Source organism: Homo sapiens, chromosome 4 (assembly GCF_000001405.40).
Source record: "Homo sapiens chromosome 4, GRCh38.p14 Primary Assembly".
NCBI lineage: Eukaryota > Metazoa > Chordata > Mammalia > Primates > Hominidae > Homo > Homo sapiens.
The window spans coordinates 44,181,197-44,205,552 of record NC_000004.12 but is presented as its reverse complement, the minus strand read 5'-3'; the positions used below and the strand labels follow the sequence as shown (position 1 = coordinate 44,205,552).

At 38.0% G+C, this 24,356-nt stretch overlaps 1 protein-coding gene across 2 annotated transcripts in view, besides 2 other annotated features; it reads left to right on the top strand.

Annotated features, from left to right (window-relative positions):
- The window catches only part of KCTD8 (potassium channel tetramerization domain containing 8), a 274,907-nt gene that overhangs the window by 243,257 nt on the left and 7,294 nt on the right, over positions 1-24,356 (top strand). The gene's annotated exons all lie outside the window — the stretch shown is intronic.
- Positions 22,691-23,395: an enhancer, noted in NCBI's record as "NANOG-H3K27ac hESC enhancer chr4:44184175-44184879 (GRCh37/hg19 assembly coordinates)". NCBI's record gives its function as "activates a minimal SCP1, AML or CMV promoter by ChIP-STARR-seq in primed H9 embryonic stem cells {active_cell/tissue: H9 hESC(primed)}" and the evidence as "EXISTENCE:reporter gene assay evidence [ECO:0000049][PMID:30033119]".
- Positions 23,396-24,100: an enhancer, noted in NCBI's record as "H3K27ac hESC enhancer chr4:44183470-44184174 (GRCh37/hg19 assembly coordinates)". NCBI's record gives its function as "activates a minimal SCP1, AML or CMV promoter by ChIP-STARR-seq in naive H9 embryonic stem cells {active_cell/tissue: H9 hESC(naive)}" and the evidence as "EXISTENCE:reporter gene assay evidence [ECO:0000049][PMID:30033119]".

The window sequence follows — 24,356 nt, the reverse complement described above, 5'->3', positions numbered from 1 at the left end:
AAAAATTATTTTAGAGAACTTTACAGTTACTTCCAGTACATTAATAGTTTTATTGCATATATTCAGCTCTTTATTTCATCCAGCATATATTTTTGTATGTGATGTGAGGTAGAAATATAAATATGTTTTCCAAATGGATAGCCAGTTGCCTTAAAACAATTAATTGAATAGTGCATTCTTTTTTGATCGAACTAAAATTCCAAATTTCTACAGGTACGTTTCACACTATCCACTACACTTCACTGATGTAACTTTCCAGATTGTTACAGTCAAGATAAAGTTTTATATATGCTTTGGTATCTAGGAAGGCACTTTAATTTTTCTTTCTGTTTCAAAATATTGTAAATTATTCTTACGTGTTTCCTTTTCCAAATTATTTAGGATCAGTTTGTCAAGTTACATGAAATATTTTCATGAGATTTGCATTAGTCTTGCATTGCATGTATACATATTTATTTGAAAGATAATTACATCTTTATGGTATTATTCTAGTAAAGAACACATTACTTCTATTTTTTCAATCTCTCCAGATTCATCAATAAAGTCCACTAGACTCAAAGGTTTATGCTTTTCTTTGAAATTTTGTTGTTACACTGAGTGTAATTAATTTTCTATATTTTAGAAAATTAATATTGATGATTTAATTTTGTGTCCAGATTCCATATAAAACTCTCTTATGAGTTTTCCAGTTTTAGATAAACCATACTATCAAATAAAAATAATATTTTATTTGTTCCCTATATTTATAGTTATATTTCTTTAATTTTAAAAATCTTATTAACATATCTTTTAGTATAATATTGAGGAGTGGAAATAACAGCAGAAAATTTTAGCTTACTTCTGAGTTTAATGTGTAGCAGGACGAGCCACAGACAAAACCCCTCAGATACCTAGTTAAAGAAGGAAGGGCTTTATTTGGCGAGGAGCATCAGCAAGACTCATGTCTCAAAAACCGAGCTCCCTGAGTGAGCAATTCCTGTCCCTTTTAAGGGCTCACAACTCTAAGGGGGTCCACGTGAGAGGGTCGTGATGGATTGAGGAAGCAGGGGGTACATGACTGGGGGCTGCATGCACCAGTAATTAGAACAGAACAGAACAGGACAGGGATTTTCACAGTGCTTTTCTATACAATGTCTGTAATCTATAGATAACATAACCGATTAGATCAGGGGTCGATCTTTAACTACTAGGCCCAGGGTGTGGTGCCGGGCTGTCTGCCTGTGGATTTCATTTCTGCCTTTTATTTTTTATTTCTTCTTTCTTTAGAGGCAGAAATTGGGTATAAGACAATATGAGGGGTGGTCTCCTACCTTAAATGGAAATACTTCTGATACTTCACTCTGAAGTTAAAGGTTTTTTTCTTCCCAATTTCTTGTTTACTATTTTTAAAATTTAAATCATTTATGGATATTAGATTATATTCAAAATTTATTTAGAACTATTGTGGTAATTATATTATTTTTGTTGTTTTATCTGATAATGTAATGTATATTTCAGAATGATGAGCTGCCTTCATTTTTTTGTACTGGAAGTAACTGTAAAGTTATATAGATTTTATCATCTCCCCAGATATTTGTTTCCATAAAGGCATTTGCACATGCTTTTTTTTATTACTAAATCTTGAAATTATTTCTCATTTCTTTTATTTATATATATTACTTCATGTTTTCTATTTTTTGTGGAGCCTGATTTGGTAATTTATATATTTCAGAACATTATTAATTTGAAATTTATTTATGTAAACTTATTAATATTATATCGTTCTCATTTTAAATACTCTCCATGTTAATTATTCCCACTTTATCAGTCTTTATGTCTTTGCTCTTTGCTGTTTATCAGACATACCACAAAATCTTTCATTTTCTCAACAGAAAGCTTTTCATCTTATTTATTTTCTTATATTTGTATTTTATTATTTCTTATTTTCTGCCTTTCTTTCATATTAAGCTCCTATGTATTTTTGTGTTACTTTGCTCTATTTTCAGTCCATTGAGCTGAACGCTTAGTTGAATGCTTAGCTCATTTATTTTTTTATTCCTTTTTTTTTTTTTTTTTTTGAGATGGAGTCTCGCTCTTGTTGCCCAGCCCAGGCTGGAGTACAATGGCACGATCTTGGCTTACTGCAACCTCCGCTTCCTGGGTTCAAGCAGTTCTCCCAGGTAGCTGGGATTACAAGCGCCTGCCTCCACACTCAGCTAATTTTTGTATTTTTAGTAGAGATGGAATTTCATCATGTTGGTCAAGCTGGTCTCGAACTCCTGACCTCAGGTGATCAACCCACCTTGGCCTCCCAACGTGTTGGGATTATAGGTGTGAGCCACTGCCCCCAGCTATTCTTTCTTAATTTTAATTAGATATATTTAAGACTACAATGATCTGTCTTTAAGGATATAGTTTATTTTACTTTGGGTATGCCCTACAGATTTTGGTATGTGGCAGGCTCATTAGTCTCCATTTGTAAATAAATTGGTTAAAGTCTTTCATTGACATAATTAGCATGGCCCATTATCAAATGAAAATGTAGGATCTTTTGTTCAAAAACCATGAAAAAAGCTGTTAAAAGTACTAAAAGATAAGGCTTTTTTCTTTTGTCTTTGGTCCCTCAACTTGTCATAGATTTTGTGTGTATGTGTGTGCTAATATTTTCCTATTTAATACTGCTCTAACTAAAGAAAATTTTCAATTTTACAATTATTAACATGACTTTTAATATTTATTTTTATATTGTGCAATGCAAGTATTATTTTTATTTTTTATCCTTTCAATTTTACTTTTTGTTTAGATTTTGTATTTGGGGGTGCATGTGCAGGTTTGTTATGTGGGTGTAATGAGTGAGATTTGAGTACAGGTGATCCTATCACCCAGATAGTGAGCATAATACCCAATAGTGAGTTTTTCAGCTCTTGCCCCTCCCTCCTTCCCTACTCTAGTAGTTTCCAGTGTCTATTGTTCTTATCTTTTTTCCATATGTATTCAATGTTTAGCTCCCACTTTTAAGTGAGAATATGTGGAATTTGGTTTTCTGTTTCTGCATAAAATTGCTTAGTATAATGGCTTCCAGCTGCATCCATGGTGCTGCAAAGGATACGATTTTGTTCATTTTTATGACTGCATAGTATTTCATGGTGTATATGTACTACTTATTTAAATCTAATCCACCGTTTGATGGGCACCTAAGTTGATTCCATGTCTTTGCTATTGTGAATAGTGCTGCAATGAACATGTGAGTGCATGTGTCTTTTTGTTAGAACAATTTATTATCCCCAGAAATGGAACTTTTAGATTTAATGGGAGCTGTGTTTTAAGTAGTTTGAGAGATCTCCAAACTGCCTTCTACAGTGGCTGACCTAATATGCATTACTGCCAACAGTGTACACGTATTCCCTTTTTCTCCACAGCCTCATTAGCATCTGTTTTTTTTTAACTTTTCAATAATCACCATTCTGACTAATATAAGACTGTATCTCATTGTGGTTTTGATTGACTTGTCTTTGATGATTAGTAATGTTGGGTATTTTTTCATATGCTGGCCACCAATACATCTTCTTTCCAGAAGTATGTGTTCATGTCCTTTGGCCATTCTTTAAAGCAGTTATTTGGTTTTTGCTTGTTGATTTGTTTAAAGTTCCTTGTAGATTCTGGACTTTAGACTTCTGTCAGATGCATAGTTTGTGAGTATTTTATCCTATTCCATAGACTGTTTACTCTAGTAATAGTTACTTTTTCTGTGCAAAAGATCTTTAGTTTGATTAGGTCACACTGTCAATTTTATTTTTGTTGTAGTTGCTTTGGGGGCCTTAAAAAATTTGTTGCCAAAGCTTATATCAAGAAGGGTATTTCCTAGGTTATCTTCTAAGATTTTAATAGTCTGGGGTCTTACATTAAAATCTTTAATCCATCTTGAGTTAATTTTCATATATGGGGAAAGGTAGAGTCCAATGTAATTCTCCATGTAATTAGCCAGTTATCCCAACATCGTTTATTGAATGGGGAGTCCTTTCTCCTTGCTTGTTTTTGTGGGCCTTGTGTAAGATCAATAATTGTAAGTATGTGGCTTTATTTCTGAGTTTTCTATTTTGTTCTATTGGTCTGTGTCTATTTTTGTACCAGTACCATGCTGTTTTGGTTATTATAGCCTTATGGTATACTTTGAAAATGGGTAATGTGATACCTCCATCTTTGTTCTTTTTGCTTTGAATTGCTTTGGATATTTAGGCTCTTTTTTGGTTCCATATGAATTTTAGAATCCTTTTTCCTAATTCTGTGAAAAATGATATTGGTAGTTTGATATAATATAATTGAATTTGTAAATTGCTTTGGACAGCATGGCCATTTTAACAATATTGTTTCTTCAAATCCATAAGCATGGAAGGTTTATCCATTTATTTGTGTCATCTCTGATTTTTTTCAGCAGTATTTTGCAGTTCTCCTTGTAGAGATCTTTCACCTTCTTGGTTAGCTGTATTCCTAGGTTTTTCATTTTCTTTGTGGCTATTGTAAATGGGATTATGTTCTTTATTTGACTCTCAGCCTGGTCATTATTGATGCATAACAATGCCATTGATTTTTGTACACTAATTTTGTATCCTGAAACTTTATTGAAGTTGTTTATCAGTTTCAGGAGCCTTTTGGCAGAGTCTTTAGTGATTTCTCTGTATAGATCATATCATCAGCAAAGAGAGAGAGTGTTTAACTAATTCTTTTCCTGTTTGGATGCATTTTACTTTTTTCTCTTACCTGATTGCTCTGGTTAGGACTTTCAGTACTATGTGGAATAGGAATGTTGAGAATGGACATCCTTGTCTTATTCTAGGTCTCAAGGGCAATGATTTAAGCTTTTGCCTGTTCAGTATGATGTTCATTCTCAGTTTGTCATAGATGCCTCTTATGATTTTGAGGTATGTTTCTTCAATGCCTAGCCTGTTGATGGTTTTTATCATGAAGGGATGTTGGATTTTACTGAAGCCTTTTCTACATCTATTGGGATGATCATACTGTATTTGCTTTTAATTCTGTTTATGTGGTGAATCACATTTATTGATTTATTTATGTTGAAGCACTCTTGCATCCCGGAGATAAAGCCTACTTGATTGTGGTGTATTAACTTGTTATTGTGCTGCTGGATTCTGTTTGCTAGTATTGTGTTGAGGATTTTTGTGTCAGTGTTTATCAGGAATATTGGCCTGTAGTTTTTTTTTTTCATTGTGTCTGCCAGATTTTCATGTCAGGATGATACTGGCTTCATAGAATATGTTAGGGAGGAGCCCCTCCTTCTTGGTATTTTGGAATAGTTTCAGTATGATTGGTACCAGTTCTCATTTATCTATCTGGTAGAATATGGCTGTAAATACATCTTGTCCAGGACATTTTTCTTGATAGGTTTTTTTTTTTATTATAACATTCAATTTCAGAACTTGTTATCAATCCGTTCAGGTTTTCACTTTCTTCCTGTTTCAATCTTGGGAGCTTGTATATTTCCAGGAATTTGTCTATTTCCTCTAAATTTTCTAGTTTGTGTGCACAGAGGTGTTTACAGTACCCTTTCAGGATCTTTTTTTATTTCTGTCTAATCAATTGTAATGTCATCTTCATGATTTCTGATTGCATTTATTTGGGTCTTCTCTTTTTTCTTTCTCTGTTAATCTAGCTAGTGGTTTATCAGTCTTGTCTGTTCCTTTGATAATCAAGTCTCGGTTTCATTGATCTTTTGTATGGTCTTTTGCATCTCAGTTTCATTCAGTTCTTCTCTGGTTTTAGATATTTCTTTTTTCCTGCTAGATTTACAGTTGGTTTGTTCTTTTGTTTTCTAGTTCCTCTAGGTGTGATGTTAAATCATTAATTTGAGACTTTTCTAACTACTTGATGAAGGCATTTAATACTATAAACTTTCATCTTAACATTGCTTTGGCTGCACCAAAGGTTTTGGGAAGTTGTATCTTTAATTTCTTTAATTTCAAAAAATGTTTTGATCTATGCCTAATTTTGTCATTCACCCAAGAGTTATTCTGGAGCAAGTTGATTAATTTCCACATATTAGTGTAGTTTTGAGAGGTCTTATTGGTATTGATGTACATTTTTATTGCCCTGTGGTCCAAGGGTATGCTTGGTATGATTTCAGTTTTTTTGAATTTACTCAGACTTGCTATATGGCCGAACATGTGGTTGATTTTTGAATACGTTCTAAGTGTACATGAGAAGAATATATATTCTGTGGTTTGGGTTGGGGGTAGAGTATTCTATAGGTATCTATTTGGTCCAAATGGTTGAGTGTCAAGTGTAAGTCCAAAATTTCTTTGTTAGTTTTCTGCCTTGATGATTTGTCTAAAGCTATCAGTGGGGTGTTACAGTACCTTACTATTATTGTGTGGTTGTCCATGTCTTTTTGTAGTCAAAAAGAACTTGTTTTGTGAATCTGGGTGCTCCACTGTTGGGTGTATATATCTTTATGATAGTTAAGTCTTCTAGTTGAAGTGAACCTTTTTTTATTATATAATGCCCTTCTTTGTCCCTCATGATTGTTGTTGATTTAAAGTCTGTTTTATTCAATATAAGATGAGCAACTCCTGCTCTTTTTTAGTTTTCTGTTTGCCTGGTAGCTCTTTCTCCATGTCTTTACTTAGAGTCGTCATTACATGTGAGATGGGTTTTTTGAAGACAGCGACTGTTGGGTCTTGTCTTTTTATCCAGCTTGCCACTTTATGCCTTTTAAATGGGGCATTTGGATCATTGGTATTCAGGGTTAGTATTGATATGTGATATTTTGATCCTGTCATCATCTTGTAACCTGGTTGTTTTGTAGACTTGTTTGTGTAATCACTTTAAGTTGTCTGTGAGCTATGTCCTTAGTGTGTTTTTGTGGTAGCAAGTATTGATCTTTTGTTTTTATGTTTATCATTTCCTTAAGGACCTCTTGTAAGGCTGGTCTGGTGGTAACACATTCCTTTAGTGTTTGTTTGTCTGAGAAAGATTTTATTTCTCCTTCTCTTATGAAGCTTAGCTTGGTGGGATATGAAATTTTTGGTTGGAATTTCTTTTCTTTGAGGATGCTGAAAATATGCCCCCAATTTCTTCTGACTTGTGAGGTTTCTGCTGAGAGGTCTGCTGCTAGCCTCATGAGTTTCCCTTTGTAAGTAACCCAATCTTTCTCTATATCTGCCTTTAAGAATTTTTTTCTTTTGCATTTGTCTTAGTGAGTCTGATGACTATATGCTATAGGGATGGTCACCTTGTATAGTATCTAACTGGGGTTCTCTATATTTCTTAAAATTGCATGTTTACCTCTCTAGCAAGATTGGGGAAATTTTCATAGACTATACACTCAAATATGTTTTTCAGATTGCTTATTCACTCTCTATCTCTCCCAGGGATGCCAGTGAGTTATAGATTTGGTCTTTTTACATAGTCCCATATTTCTCAGAGGTTTTGTTTATTTTTTTTAATTCATTTTTCTTTACTTTTGTCTGACTGAGTTGATTTGAAGAACCAGTCTTTGAGCTCTGAGATTCTTTCCTGGGTTTGGTCTAATCTGTTGTTAATGCTTCTGACTGTATTATGAATTTTTTAAGTGAATTCTTCAATTCCAGAAGTTCAGTTTAATTATTTCTTCAAATAGCTATTTCTTATTTCAGCTCTTGGATTATTTTTCTGGATTCCTTGGATTGGGTTTCACCTCCTGGCTTGTGATGAGCTTCCTTGACATCCAGATTCTGAATTCTGTGTCTGTTATTTAAGTCATTTCAGTCTGGTTAAAAACCATTGCTGGAATAATAGTGTGTTCCTTTGGAGGTTAGGGGGACACACTGGCTTTTTGAATGCCAGAATTCTTAGGCTGATTTTTTCCCATCTGAGAGGGCTGGTGTTCCTTTTACCGTGGTGTAATTTTAGTCAGTTGGTTTTGTTTCTGTGCACTTTCAGAAGGCCAAGGCTCTGTACAGGATCTTTATTTGTGGCCTAATTTTTGCCTTATGTTTCACAGGTGCTGTATCATGGCAAATTATTATTGGTTTTCTAATTTGAGCTGCTATTCAATAGATATTGCTTAAGCATGATGGCCAGCAGATTGGCTCTTTTGTATTTTAGCATGTTCATAGACATACTCGGTGGTTGGGGGAGAGAGATATGACCCCCTCCCCAGATCTGCTCCTGGGCCTTGGAGGAACCCCTTTTGATTACTGTTGCTGTTCCTGCATTTCCTTTTTCACTTGTTCCAGGCTGTGGGGCTCCCTCAGGCAGGGGCCAGGGGTCTGTGTTAGGAAGGCTGTACACTTCCTGGACTTGCCCTGTGGAGGGAGGCATACCCTCCTCCTCTGCTGGCCTATGAACCTGGGCTTCTTGTCACTCTTGGTGTTCTGAGAGTGGGGCCTTCTCTCCTGCTTGGACATTACCCAAACCAATGAGTCCTGTCAGGCCAAGAGCATCAGGAGTTCAGGGAGTCACACAGTTTGCCATCTGCATGTTTTCCGGGGGAACACAGAGCTGTGCCTGACCACAGTATTCAGGCAGGGGTAGGGTCACTGAGCTGGAAGCCCAAGCTAGCAAGTTCCACCTGGCTAGGAGCAGCTCAGTCACTGTGCTGGAAGCAAGAGTGGAGTCTTGTCTGGCAAGGAGTGAGGCAGTCTGACTGCTCCCCAGCATCCCAACTGTGGCCTCTGTTGGTGTTATGGCAGCAGATACTAGGCTATTCAGGGATCCAGACCTGTGGGATTCCCTGTATTCTTGAGTGTTGCCTCTGCAAAATCTCTGTGTGGCTCTCCATATCAGTCTAGAGGCCCAGGAAAGGAGGGGGTTCTCTCGTTCCCAAGATTTCACAGATCCTTGTGGGAAGTGTGGATTCCCTGGGAGCTCTTCCTCTCTCACCCTTTCCCTGTATTAGGAAGCTTCTTCTGGCTCTGCACTGGTCCCAGGTGGGTGGCTGCCCAGTTTTACTCTTCTCTGTTCTTCGTGTGTTCTCTTACTCCTTTGATGGATCCTGACATGGTTTTTTAGACAATTCACCTGAAGAGTCAGTATTTACTCCCAACTTTGTTTCTTCTTCATGAGAGCGGGTGCACACAAGTTGCTTCCAGTCTGCTATCTTGAACCCCCTTCTCCAAGAAAGGTTTTAAATGCAAATATAAGAGCATTTAATCTGTGTGTAGAATCACCAAAATTACACAATTTGTATTCCCTTGCATATCGTGTCTTACCAGAAAAGTAAAAGATTGTACAAAATTAACATTTTATTTGTATTCTACTTCTTCATATGTGTACATTCTACTAAAACTCTTTACATTTGGCTTACTGGTAGGTAAAGAAGGAGTGTGAAAAAGAACTATGGATTTCTCTATCTTTCTCTTTCTTTCAGTGCCATCATTTTCACCATAATGATGAGTAAGAAAGAGTATGATAGTATTGCTTTGTCATTTGCGTTTCTTAGAATGTAATTGCTTTCTTTCTGCATTCAAGCAAGTTCTAGTTGGCACAAAGGATGTGGCCTCTAGAGGGCTGTTAGTGCCCCCACCCTTACTTTCCCTTTACTTAGTATTAATGTAACATGCTTATCTTATATAAACTTTTAATATTTGTTTTATTGTTCAATCACTTTGTTCCATTTTACCTTTTTACTTTTAACTATTTGACTATGTATGCCTTGTATTTTTATTATTCTAGTAGGTAGTTTAAAAATTAACACAAGCTTTACATATTTTCCAATAGAATTAACCAGCATCTATATTCTCCTTTTCAACAAGACAATATCCTTAGTATGCTGTTACTTCCTCTCAGCCCTCTTACCTCCCCTGTTGTAATAGTCAGGATCTTGGTTCTAGAGTGTTAGTAACTTTTCAAATTGTTACCAAAAATTGCATATAAAATACTCTATTTGTTATTAATAAAGTAGTTAAAAGGTGGAGCAATTTGGACACATAATACTAAAGATTTTAATTATAAAGTTTTTTCTAGTTATATGCATATCATTGCTATTATAAACAAAAAAGAAAAATCAGTAGAACGAAACCAATAAAAAACAAACATCAGCAATTCTCATTTGCTCTTTGATCTACAAAATCAGAATCTTCTTGGTCTTCTGTATGATCTTTCCTCTTAACCTTACAGTTTCACTTGCAAAATATGTCACAGCACATTAAAAGCAAACAGAAAAGCTGACTATTCAAGCAAAGGAGTATGAGTCCCTAGTCATCGGTTAATGTTGTTGGGTTTTATTTTGTAATTCTCTAATGCCAATATACAGCTACAATTGTATTGAAATTAACTATATTGTAAATCATAATTCTTAATTAGGAGTCTTTACTAATCAATCCTTATAATTGGATAATTATAGTTCTAGTTTAGTTCCATGTTATATAAATTTTTATTCAAAAAAAAAAAGTATGTATTTAGGTAGGCACAGTGGCTCATACCTGTAATCCCAGCACTTTGGGAGGCCGAGGTGGGTGGATCACCTAAGGTCAGGAGTTCAAGATCAGCCTGACCAACATGGTGAAACCCCGTCTGTACTAAAAATAAAAAATACAAAAATTAGAAATACAAAAATTAGCCTGGCGTGGTGGTACATGCCTGTAATCCCAGCTACTTGGGAGGCTAAGGCAGGAGAATCACTTCAACCCAGGAGGTAGAGGTTGCAGTGAGCCAAGATTGCACTATTGCACTCCAGCCTGGGCAACAAGAATGAAACTCCATCCAAAAAAAAAAGAGAGAGAGTGAAAGGAAAGAGGGAAGGAAGGAAGGAAGGAAGGAAGGGAGGGAGGGAGGGAGGGAGGGAGGGAGGGAGGGAAGGGGGGAGGGTGGGAGGGAGGGAGGGAGGGAAGGGAGAGAGAAAATATTTGAATTTTTCATTCAAGTAGCACATAATTATTTTAAGTAATTTTTATAAAGTGAACAAAGAGTAGGCACCCCGATTACTTTCACTGAACCACATGAAGTCAAAGGAAAATATTCATCTCTGTGAATTCTGTGTTCTCAGCACTTCAAGGAAAGTTATGAGTCACATGAGTCATACCAGAAGCATACTCTGTTTTTCTCTACCTCCAAGATTTTAATGAATAACCATTAATATAGCTCATAATTAAGTATGCTTTTCCAAAAGTATTTCCAGTGCAAATTTACCCCTGACATAACATTTCCATTGATCTACATAGAAGGTGTTACCAGTACATCTTTTTACCTTATAATGGTTTCATTAGTAGCATTTCATGATCTTTTACTTTTAATCTGTAAGGCTTTAATGTCAGAAAAGAAGATTGATGTTAATGGGGTTATTGAAATATCAGGTTTAGACTAAAGTGCACTATAAAGTGACAGGAAAAGTTCAAGGCATCTCAACACTGACAGAATCTGCTCATTATTTAATTAGGGTCTGAAAACTCTTAGCAGAAATTTCTGGCCTTATGTCAGAACCTTTCTGGATCATGTGCTGCATATCATTGAAAAGTTTGGTCTTAAATGTATCTTCTCATACAAATATAATTTTGATATTTTGGAAATTATGGTACCTGACAAGTCATGGGTTCTAAGATAGTCCTAAGAATAGTCTTAGGATTCATCCTCTCTATTCTTTCTCTGTTATATTCCCTCTACATCTCATCTATTTTCCTAATTTCACTCTGTAAATTTTACTGTAGGATTTACATTTTAAATATATAATTTTCCTTTTAACCATAGTTGCTTCTTATAATGTTTCTTGTAATTAATATAAAACAGCCTTTTTATTGGTCTGAATTCACAGAAATATGCATGTCAGAGGATATTGCAACCTAACAGTGAAACAACAACAACAACAACAAAAACCCTTACATTTGATAAATAGACATTGCTTGGTTAAAAAGCCTCGGTCCCAGTAAAGGTCACAATGAACTGAGTTAGAAAGCAATGTCTACATTTTCATATGTGTAGCCTTTAATTTTTTTTTTTTTGTTAAAATACCTAGATGTAAAATAAAATAATGTTATATGGCAAACTATCTAAATAAATGATAATACTCAAGTATAGTTAAGCACATTTTTATCCCCAAATGTTCAGATATGCATCTTAGTTTAATCCTTAAGGGCTTGAAATTATGAGTAATTATATCTCTAACTTAGAATTTAAAGAAAGCTGGTTTTAACACCATTTTCAGGATTTTTGTGGCAGCATATGTATCTCAGAGCTTAACTCAGCATCAGCTCTAAAGTCAGACAGATCTACATCTGCCTCTGCCTCTTCCAAATATGACCTGTCAAGTTTCATAACGTCTCTAAACCTCCACTTCCTAATGTGTAAAATAAACATGAGAGGCCTCTACTTTATGAAGTTATTATGAGATGTAAATGAGATGCTATGTATAAAGCATGGTACCTGATCCATAAGTATTCAATAAATATTAAATATTATAACTTTACTTGTTAAAATATAAACTAAGTAAAATTGTACTTATTTTATTACTAGGTTTGTTTATCTCAGCTTATTATCTTTTTCAACTAGTGGTGTATTAGTCAGGGTTCTCTAGAGGGACAGAACTAATTGTATAGATGTATATATAAAGGGGTGTTTATTAAGAAGTATTATCTCACACGATCACAGGGTCTCATGATAGGCTGTCTGCAAGCTGAAGAGCAAGGAAGCCAGTCTGAGTCCCAAAGCTGAAGAACTTGGAGTCTGATGTTCAAGGACAGGAAGCATCCAATCCAGCATGGAAGAAAGACGTAGGCTGGGAGGCTAAGCCAGTCTAATCTCTCCGTATTCTTCTGCCTCCTTTTATTCTGGCTATGCTGGCAGCTGATTAGATGATGCCCACCTGGATTGTGGGTGGGTGTACCTCTCCCATTTCACTGACTCAAATGTTAATCTCCTTTGGCAACACCCTCACAGACACACCCAGGATCTATACTTTACATCCTTCAATCCAATCAAGTTGGCATTCGTATTAACCATCACAAGTGGCTATACAGGAAAAGGTGACACATAGTGACATGTTGCTGAAGGATGGTATGAAAAACTTACTTTACTACAAAACATAGTGATTTCTATGTTTAACCACACTTGCATAATTATTTATCAGTTCTGTGTGTGTGTGTGTGTGTGTGTGTGTGTGTGTGTGTGTGTATCTTTGCTTACCTTGCACCCCATCCACTGTTTGAGATAGATTTTTTTTTTCCCCTCAGGACATACGAGTGGATGAGGAGCTCAGTCTAGGCCAGTAATAATAGGCTAAATAATACCCATCCTAGCCTTAAAGAATGTGGGCACATGACCCTGTTAGTAATATAACAGTAAATTTCTAGGACTCTTTTAATTGTTTATATTGCTGTCATAATAATTTGCTCATAAATACACAATGATTAGATTTGTTTTTGTCTGATTTTCTCCAAATTTCTCCAATTTCTTTGGTCAGTAACTAGAAATGTGCATTAAAAATTTAGTTTATGCATTAAGCATTTATCGGGGGAACCCGCCCCCAATATTTCAATGCATATTCTATTTTCCCTAAGTGTCGGCCAGTCTGAGAAATAAAGGGAAAGAGTACAAAGAGGGGAATTTTACAGCTGGGCCGCCAGGGGTGACATCACATATCGGTAGATCCGTGATGCCCACCTGAGCCACAAAACCAGCAATTTTTATTAGGGATTTCAAAAAGGGAGGGGGTGTATGAACAGGGATTAGGTCACAAAGATCACATGCTTCAAATGGCAAAAGGGAGAACAAAGATCCCATGCTTTTGAGAAAACAAGGTAAGGACGAAAGCAAAGATCACAAGGCAAAGGGCAAAATTAGAATTACTGATGAGGGTCTACGTTCAGCTGTGCACATATTGTCTTGATAAACATCTTAAACAACAGAAAACAGGGTTCAAGAGCAGAGAACTCATCTGACCTCAAATTTACCAGGGCGGGATTTTTTCCCCACCCTAATAAGCCTGAGGGTACTGCAGGAGACCAGGGCTTATCTCAGTCCTTATCTCAACCTCATAGGACAGACACTCCCAGAGAGGCTGTTTATAGACCTCCTCCCAGGAATACAATTCTTTTCCTAGGGTCTTAATATTTAATATTCCTTGCTAGTAAAAGAATTTAGCACTATCTCTCCTACTTGCACATCCATTTATAGGCTCTCTGCAAGAAGAAAAATATGGCTCTTTTTGCCCGACCCCATAGGCAGTCAGACCTTATGGTTATCTTCCCTTGTTCCTTAAAATCGTTGTTATTCTGTTATTTTTCAAGTTGCACTGATTTCATATTGTTCAAACACACATGTTTTACAATCAATTTGTACAGTTAACACAATCATCACAGGGTCCTGAGGTGACAAACATCCTCAGCTTACAAAGATAACAGGATTAAGAGATTAAAGTAAGACAGGTATAAGAAATTATAAAAATATTAATAGAGAAGCAATACATTTCCATGAAATCTTCACAATTTATGTTCAGAGATTGCAGTAAAGACAGGCATAAGAAATTACAAAAGTATTAATTTTAGGAACTGATATATGTCCATGAAATCTTCACAATTTTTGTTCCTCTGCCACGGCTCCAGCCGGTCCCTCCATTCAGGGTCCCTGACTTCCCACAACAGCATTAAGTGTTAGAGTTCTCCAATAACAAATACAAACAGCACATCACTCAACTTGTTTCAGGAAGAGAGGTCTGTTATATTTCAAGGGTATTTGCATCTAATAAAATACCTACATTTATAAGATAAATTTGTTTTATAAAATGTTTATTTTATTTGGTCTAAAATACTTGTCCAACAGTGGAGTTGATCATAGGAATCACTGAACCAGACATCCAAATACTGTTAGGATTCCCTTTCAGCTCTCATTCTCCCCTACTGTAGTTGGGATTGGGGGACTTAGTCCCCTACAGTCATATCTGAGAGCTTTTTGGCCAAAGATGTAAGGGCATTCTCATTCTTTCCCCTCATGAACAGTTTGAAGTATTCCAGAGATTTCATGTTATTGAGTCACCCAGATTATTTACCTTGCAACCCTCATCGTTACTGTAGATTAGGGGGCTGATTTGGTAGGGCATTATGATTGGCCAAGTCTAGGTTATAAATATAGTACTTTAGCCTGGCGATTAGGGTCTGTCATATAAGATAGATAGAGCACCACCTATATTCTCAGACACACATACCAACACAGCCAATAAGAAATTTACTCCATCTAAACAAGTATCATTATAAACAGATGTCAACCTATCATTCACATAGGTGAAGAATTAAAGACAGGAATGCATGTGATATTTAGGCTAATATTAATTTCTCCAATTTGACTTGAATGAAGGGTGAGAGTAATAGAAAATGAAGTGTGGACTTTAAGCTGGAACTAGGGGGAGGAAAGTCTTGTCTGTGGAGCTAAAAGATTTGGATATGTTTCTGAAAGCCATTCAGGTTTTCTGAGAACAGGTGCTATAATAAGAGCTATGTTTCAGTGCAATGTTGCTGACATCTTTGTTTAGTATGGATAAAAGGATATAAAGATTAGAGATGAAAGGATTTCTAGAAGGTTATTACAGTTGATTCAGTAAGAGTTAATGGGGATCAAAACCATGAGAGTGAAGACTGAAGGTGAGGAAAATGATTGAGGTATTATCAAAGTATCAAGAGGACTAGATAACTGTTTGCTGGGGGAGGGAATCAGTAGAGGGGTAGAAATTGGAATAGCGAAAATGACTCTGAGATTTGAAACCTGGGTAATTAAGAAGACTGTGGTGCTTCTATAAAAATAGGAAAATAGAAAGCATAAGAGGAGGAACTGGTTTAAGAGAAAAAGAATAATGAAGTTATTTTTTGACATGATTTTTTTGAAGTTTAGACGATGTCCAAAGGCAGTAAAAACATGAGACTAGAATGACAAGGAATGATCAGGTTCTGGAAATGTGTGTAGAGTCGGCTATAGAGAGAGACAGTTCTGTGATTGTGTGTGTGTGTGCATGTATGTTGGAATGGGTAGATGGGTGGCTATGTTTGAATGTTTGTAGAAAGAGAAAATGGAGTCTTATGGGAACAGAGATAAGGTGAAGTGGCTATCCCTATTAACCTCGTTATTCCAATAATGGTTGATCTATATAATTGGAGAGAACTTTGACTAGATATGATAATTGTTTTCCAAAATATTAAGGACCTTTAGTTGAAAGCAGGGATTAACCTCGTTATTCCAATAATGGTTGATCTATATAATTGGAGAGAACTTTGACTAGATATGATAATTGTTTTCCAAAATATTAAGGACCTTTAGTTGAAAGCAGGGAATAGATTCATTCTATGTTGCTCCAGAAGGTAGAAATAGATTTAGTGAATGGCAGTATTTGAGGAGACAAATTATGGCTGAGTATAGGAATTTTTTAACATTAGGGATACCCACAAAGTAGAATGATTTGCAGTACAATATTCTGGGCTTATCACTACTATAGGAGCTTAAAGAAACAGGAAGATAATTCGATAGAGCCTGCAAAATATTTTATTTTAATAGAACAGTTAAGATTCTACAATTCAGATCCAATATCATCCAGTTATTAAGGACAATATTATGTTCACTTATATAAGATGACATAACTCAATATCTACCAAGGGCCAGGAATTACACTAAATCACTTGTATTTGTTTCTATTGGCTACTATGACAAATTGCCATAAGCTTGGTGACTTACAAAACCAGAAATTTATTCTCTCACAGACTCCAGAGTCTGAAGTCAGTTTCACTAGGCTAAAATTAAGGTGTCAGCAGGGCTACACTATCTCGAGAAGTTCTAGGGAAAAATTTGTTGCTTGTTTCTGATGGCAGCTGACATTCCAGGATTTGTAGCTGCATCACTCCAACCTCTGATTCCATGGACACATTGCCCCCTTCTCCTCTGTAAGTATCAGATCTCTCACTACCTCCCTCTTGTAAGGATACCACTGATTGACTTTAGGGTCCAGTGGGATAATCCAGAATAATTTCACCATCTCGAAATCCTTAATTACCTCTACAAAGACTTTTTCATGGAAAGTGACATTTACAGGTTCCAGGGATTCGGGCCTGCTATCTTTTATGGAACCACTTTTTAGCCTACTACAAAGGACTTCCTCACATTTATCTTGACTTAAAGTAACCCTAGGACGGAGGTGCCGTATTTCTATTCCTTTTTAGACAGAATAGGAAAATGAACCTTAAAGACACATTTGACACCTAGCTAATACATGTCAGAACTTCACATCAAGCAAAATTCTGCTCTATTCAAAAGCTGGGCACTTTTTTATTGTACTATGAAATGAAATTAAACCCTGCTATGCACATATATGCCTTCATCTTTCCTTCATCATGATGATTCTGCACCGAGCTGCTGCCTTAACAGGCACACTTTTATAAATTTCAAAGTGAAAAGAAGCGGCACTCATATTCAATAGTATGGCAGCTACAAGAAGTTGCATATGGCTGAGGATTGTTGGAAATACTTGAAAACATTTATTGGCAGGCAGGCACTTAAGATCTGAAGAGATCCAATAAATAAAAATCCACTCAACTATGGCTCCTGCTGGCAATTGTTGCTGCTCCTGCAACACAAGAGTGTTAGACTGTTTTTTTTTTGTGTGTGCATGTATATATATATGTGTGTGTGTGTGTGTGTGTGTGTGTGTGTGTTTACCTCTTCCACAACCTCTGCTTCCCTTATTGTCACTGAGAGATTTTTCCTCAGGTCTAAGGCAGCTGTTTAGTATTGCATAACAGGCGACAATAATTTACAACCAGCGTGGTTTTATGTTCATATAAATTTGTTATACACAGCCCTCATAAGTGTACCCCCAACCTATATTAACAGAGTGCCTTCTTTTTCCCTCCCGGAGCCACCAGACATGTTGTAGAGACAACATCTCATTAATCCTTGCCAAGCACCTTGTAGGTGTTATGATCCACATTTTATAGATGTGAAACAAGCAAGCATAGGCTTGTGTTCACAAATTAGAAAACCAAATAAATCATCCCTCTCATAAAACATATACTTGTAAAAAAGAAGGTCATTAGAAGGTTGCTACCTGGGCATGTGAAAAACAACTTTGCCAATGTCAGTGATAAAGAATGGTAGATTCAGACGTGGGAACCTTGGAAGGAGCAGGGAGTAGTTCCGCAGGCTTCATTCCAGATTCCAAAAGGAGCCTAGGCATCTTTGTGTGGAGTTTTTGTTTTTGATTTAAGCACGAGAAGGGTGAATGTGGATAGAATCCTAGCTTCCATGGGGGAAATGAAGAAATGAGTTTTAAATGAAGAGCTCTTGCAAGGTGTCTGTAACAACTTTGCATGTGATAAAGGCTTCTGAGAGGACAAATGAACACCTAATATGTTTTCTACTACGAGCATGAGGTGCAATCATGTAAGTGAGGTAGTGTTCTTCTGCAGAAAAAAGAAAATTATTTTTCCACATTATGTGTGGTTCTCAAGTAATTTATTTCTCTTTAATAAACTAAAAGGGATAAGGTAGGAACTTTGCCAAAGGAATATTTTCATTAACTAGAGAGACTGTGAGGCTCTTCTTATGACTCACTGCTAAATGGTTTATCTTCGACTCCCCCCATTTCTTTGCTTTTGTTACACACCTTAAGCTGAGTTACACTCCTCAAGCTGAGTTACACTTGGGTTTATATATTTTGGTTAAAACAAAATAAAATAAAACAAAAAGAAACTTCTCTAGGAATAAAGTAATCCCCTGTGTGCTTAGACAATATTTTGTAGATAATATTAATTTCATTTAATTCAGTTAGATAAATGGTTACTGAATTCTTATGAGCCTAGCCATGTGGTGATGCTTCAGGAAATACCAAGACGAAAAGGAAAAACTCTCTATCCCATAAGTGACTATGAAACGGGAAAAATTCCCTTGTCCCCCTGGCAGGGCATGTGATGCGGGGGTGACTCACTTCTTCGGTGCCCCACTGCTCAAAACCCCTAGGGGGAGGACGCAGACGGGCAGGTCGTGGGGAGTGTGGGCTCCGTCCCCACAGCAGCGTCTAGGGGTGAATGTTTACAGCTCCTTAGGCCCCAGAGGGCACGTTACAGTGTGTTCTTTTAGTTTTGCCATCTGTAGGCGGCATGTGTTAATCAGCTCAATTAGACCCTCTGCCTTATCGCAAGGACAGAGGGCTTTCTGTATCCCAGTGTTCTTGCCTTGGTGTACCAGAAAAATTGGGTTACATGTGGGCTTGGAGCATGAGTGCAAGTTTTTACTGAGTGTTGGAAGTAGCTCTCTGCAGATGGATGGGGAGCCAGCAGGGGTATGCAGTGGAAAGGTGTTTTTTGCCTGGAGTAAGGCGACGCAATTCTCCTCTGACTGCTTCCACCAAATTCCCCTCAGCCGCCGCCACATCGCTCCCCCAGTTGATGGCCTGCTGGCGTCTGCCAGTGCCTGTCGGTGTGCTCTTTCGCTCCTCGCCACCTGTGTGCTGTTCTGCCAGTGTGTTCTTCTCGATGTCCAGCCTCTTGTGTCTGTGCCGGCTAGGGTCTTGGGGTTTTTATAGGCCCAGGATTGGGGCGTGACAGGCCAGAGTAGTCTTGGAAAATGCACATTTGGCTACGAAAACAGGGGTGCCTGTCTTTACCTAGATCTGTGGGCACAGGCCCGAAGGTGGAGACCTCGCCAGGGACCCCGCCCTTTTCCTCCCAGCACTTCCCTGTCCCGCTCCAGTATTAACTATATTAGTGTGTATGTGTTTTGTGTGTGTGTTTGTGTGTGTGTGGTGGGGCAGAACACAGGGATGAAAGTTAAACTGAGTACAGAAATAACCATTATTTAAGACAAAATAGGCTCAGTACCTTGAGATGGATTAAAACAAACAACTATGGGTTATTAAAAAAAAAAAAGCAGGAAATCACAAGGAATTACATCCAAATATGATAATGAGAAGTTTTATGCTGAAAGCAACATACGGATTAGGCTTTGAAGAATAGCTAAAAGGGGCATGGGCAAGAAAAGAATGCAGTCCAGAGAAAAGCCAGCATTGGTAGAGCGAGGCATTCACCAGAAACAAGTATATTGGAGTCACCAAATGGGGAGCACTAAAATATGGGCTGGGGTTATTTGTGTTACACTGAAGATAGTCTCCAAAGCCAAGATGTCACAATCAAATTTTATCGTATGTGCTAGAGGAACTATTTAGAAGGTTTTTGAACAAGGATATACTTAATGGAATTAGGTTTTAGGAATATATATTTAGCAATGGCATTGAGAATAGTTTGAAGTAGGACTAAAGTGGAGTCAGAGAATTGGTTAGGAAATATAATGAGAAATAATAAGAAACCTGTCATAGGTGGTGGAAATTGGAACAGAGATGAATAGATAGATTCAACAGTTGCTGTAATGGTAGAATTGATAAGACATGACAAGTGTTTGAAAATAAGAGATAAATCCATTGGATAGCCAAAGGTGAATGTGCGCATGGTTTACGGAAATAACTGAGTCATAGGAAGATACTGATTTGTAGAATGAGAGAAAGGCAATAAAATTATTTTTGGAAACCTCTTCTAATATATGTCTCACTAAACAAATATATTTTCTGTGGCACTTCTTTTCTCATGCTACATTATATTTTCTCTGATATTTCTTTTCTTATGCTGCATTACATTTGCTTATGCACATTACTATTATAGTATTGTTTAATCAGTGATAATACAAATCAGCCTCCTGAACTGTCTGAGTAATACATGCCATCTAAGCCCTCATGGAAATTATAAACTCTGAGGGATATGGGACACCAGAAGTGTGACCTCGGGACTAATTTTTATGTGTGGGTGGTGGGAGCATTCTTACTACTCTGTGGACATCAAAATGAATATTTACTAACCTGAAAGATGGTAAACGCTAACTTCCAAGTGAGTGATGTAATTAGTATTAAATACTATACAAATTCAGAGGCATGAAAATAGTTTTACTAATTTTGTTAAGCAACTATTCTGATGAAGGCACCATGAGAGAATAGAAAAGCACAGTTTCTGCTTTTGAGGAGTTTACAATTAAAGACTGAGAGCCACACTATGAGTAGGTAAATATGATAAAAATTAACAAGTTCAGGGAGTATCAGAAGAGTGGGTTGGGGATGACCATGTCAGGATGAAAAAAGGAATATGACCATGTTTCTCTTTTCAAGTCACTCTTCTTTTTCTTTTCTTTTCTTTTCTTTTGTTATACTCTTTCACTCATAAAAGTGGCTAAGTAATGCTAATGGAAATTATAGAAAACATAAATAAATGAGTTCAATTTTTCCTCACATATAAATTAATTTTATTCATTTGTCTTCAACTCTAAGATGAAGACGTCTCCTCTATGACCTGTAAGTTTCAATGTAGCATGGCAGTTTTACTGATTAATTAAAAATGACCCCATTCCTTAGCTCACTCCAATCACAAATCAGCCTCTTTTTATTTTACTCCTTGCTCCCTCATCCATGCCCTATTCACACTTTAGCTACATCTGCACTTGTCACCCCAAGCCTGAACTACTTGATATCAGGGACTGTGGTTGTGCAGGTGTGTGTGCACATGTGTGTGTGTCCCCACCCTTGTAGCTAACACTATGCCTTATATATAGTAGGTGCTCAGTAAATGTTTGTGAAATCAAAATGGAGTTTTTCCCTTTTGACTCAAGTGCTTAATATTTAGAAGCGTGTGGTGCTAATATTTAAGATAGATTGGTTCATTCTGTTTAAGTACCACATAACCATTCACACATCATTGAGTTTAGTACTATTAAAGGATAATTTCCCTTCTAGGAATTGTGACTGTTGCAGACACATTTTACATACCTATCATGTTTTATCATCACTGGGCAGGTAAAGAGATTAAAATGAAAAGTTTTTTTTTTCAAATGTGCAGCTGTGTACATAGACTTTGTTTGGAAATGCTTGTGTATTCAAGGAAAAAATATAGAAATACTCTTAAAAACATCCCCACACCTAGAACTACCCAGAAATCATGCAGCCTTTTTAAAGACAAAAATATTGACATTTAGTTTCTGTACCTCATTATCTATTCAAATGACTGGGAAAAGCTATCTTTTCCACTTTTCTATTTTAATATAATAAAGCCCAAGGGAATTGATCAAAAGCCCTGTTTTGCTGAGTTTTACAAGTTTGGGCCTATTGTGATATTTTCTATTTGTGACATTTTACTTAATATAATGTTTTTTACTACTGCTCTTAATTCACACATTTTTGATAGCTTATACCAGGGCCTTTGTGTTTTATTTTCTTAAATACCCTTTTGAACATAAAAATGTAATATTTCATAGCCTCTCAAATCTACATGTGTGATAGATGATTCTTGACTATAAACTAATAGTTTACTTTGTATAGAACTTTACAGCTTACAAATTGCATTCACATATATTATCTCATTTGCTTCTTACCATAGCCATGCGACTAGATATTTCTATTTTAATTTCATTTTTAATAGATAAAAATTTAAGAACACAAGAAACTAAGAGACCTGTCTGCAATTCATATGTGCATAGGTGTTACGTGCAGACCCAGAATCAGTGTGGAAACATTACAATTATCCAATCAGTACTCTCAGTATTCAAGTGAACAAATTGACCATGTCATGGCCAATTAGCACATGGATATTTACATTGAATAATAGTAATTAACATTTTTCGGCATTTATACATGCCAGACTGTTTTAAAGTACTTAATATATATGTTAGGTAATTTAATCCTAGCTAAAGCTATTTGACGTTTAAACATGAGGAGACTGAGGCCCAAGGAAAGTAAGCAACTTGCTTAGAATAACAAATCTAGTAGGTTTTTATTTATTTATTTATTTTTTATTTTATTGATCATTCTTGGGTGTTTCTTGCAGAGGGGGATTTGGCAGGGTCATAGGACAATAGTGGAGGGAAGGTCAGCACATAAACAAGTGAACAAAGGTCTCTGGTTTTCCTAGGCAGAGGACCCTGTGGCCTTCCGCAGTGTTTGTGTCCCTGGTTACTTGAGATTAGGGAGTGCTGATGACTCTTAACGAGCATGCTGCCTTCAAGCATCTGTTTAACAAAGCACATCTTGCACCGCCCTTAATCCATTTAACCCTGAGTGGACACAGCACATGTTTCAGAGAGTGCATGGTTGGGGGTAAGGTCATAGATCAACGGAATCCCAAGGCAGAAGAATTTTTCTTAGTACAGAACAAAGTGAAGTCTCCCATGTCTACTTCTTTCTACACAGACACAGCAACAACCTGATTTCTCTATCTTTTCCCCACCTTTCCCCCTTTTCTATTCCACAAAACCGCCATCTTCATCATGGCCCGTTCTCAATGAGCTGTTGGGTACACTGCCCAGATGGGGTGGTGGCCGGGCAGAGGGGCTCCTCACTTCCCAGAAGGGGCGGCCGGGCAGAGGTGCCCCCCACCTCCCGGACGGGTCGGCCGGCCAGGCGGAGGCGCCCCCCCACCTCCCTCTCGGACGGGGCGGCTGGCCGGGCGGGGGCTGACCCCCCACCTTCCTCCCGGACGGGGCGGCTGTCGGGCGGAGGGGCTCCTCACTTCTCAGACGGGGTGGCTGCCAGGCAGAGGGGCTCCTCACTTCTCAGACAGGGCAGCTGCCAGGCGGAGGGGCTCCTCACTTCTCAGATGGGGCGGCTGCCGGGCGGAGGGGCTCCTCACTTCTCAGAGGGGGCGGCTGCCGGGTGGAGGGGCTCCTCACTTCTCAGATGGGGCGGCTGCCAGGCGGAGGGGCTCCTCACATCCCAGACGGGGTCGCGGCCGGGCAGAGGCGCTCCCCACATCTCAGACGATGGGCAGCCGGGCAGAGACGCTCCTCACTTCCTAGATGGGATGGCGGCCGGGAAGAGGCTCTCCTCACTTCCCAGACTGGGCAGCCGGGCAGAGGGGCTCCTGGCATCCCAGACAATGGGCGGCCAGGCAGAGAGGGTCCTCACTTCCCAGACGGGGTGGCGGCCGGGGCAGAGGCTGCAATCTCGGCACTTTGGGAGGCCAAGGCAGGCGGCTGGGAGGTGGAGGTTGTAGCTAGCCGAGATCACGCCACTGCACTCCAGCCTGGGCAACATTGAGCACTGAGTGAAGGAGACTCCGTCTGCAATCCCGGCGCCTCGGGGGGCCGAGGCTGGCAGATCACTCGCGGTTAGGAGCTGGAGACCAGCCCAGCCAACACAGCGAAACCCCGTCTCCACCAAAAAAATACGAAAACCAGTCAGGCGTGGTGGTGCGCGCCTGCAATCGCAGGCACTCGGCAGGCTGAGGCAGGAGAACCAGGCAGGGAGGTTGCAGTAAGCAGAGATGGCAGCAGCAGAGTCCAGCCTCGGCTCGGCATCAGAGGGAGACGGTGGAAAGAGAGGGAGAGGGAGACCGTGGAAAGAGAGGGAGAGGGAGACCGTGGAAAGAGAGGGAGAGGGAGACCGTGGA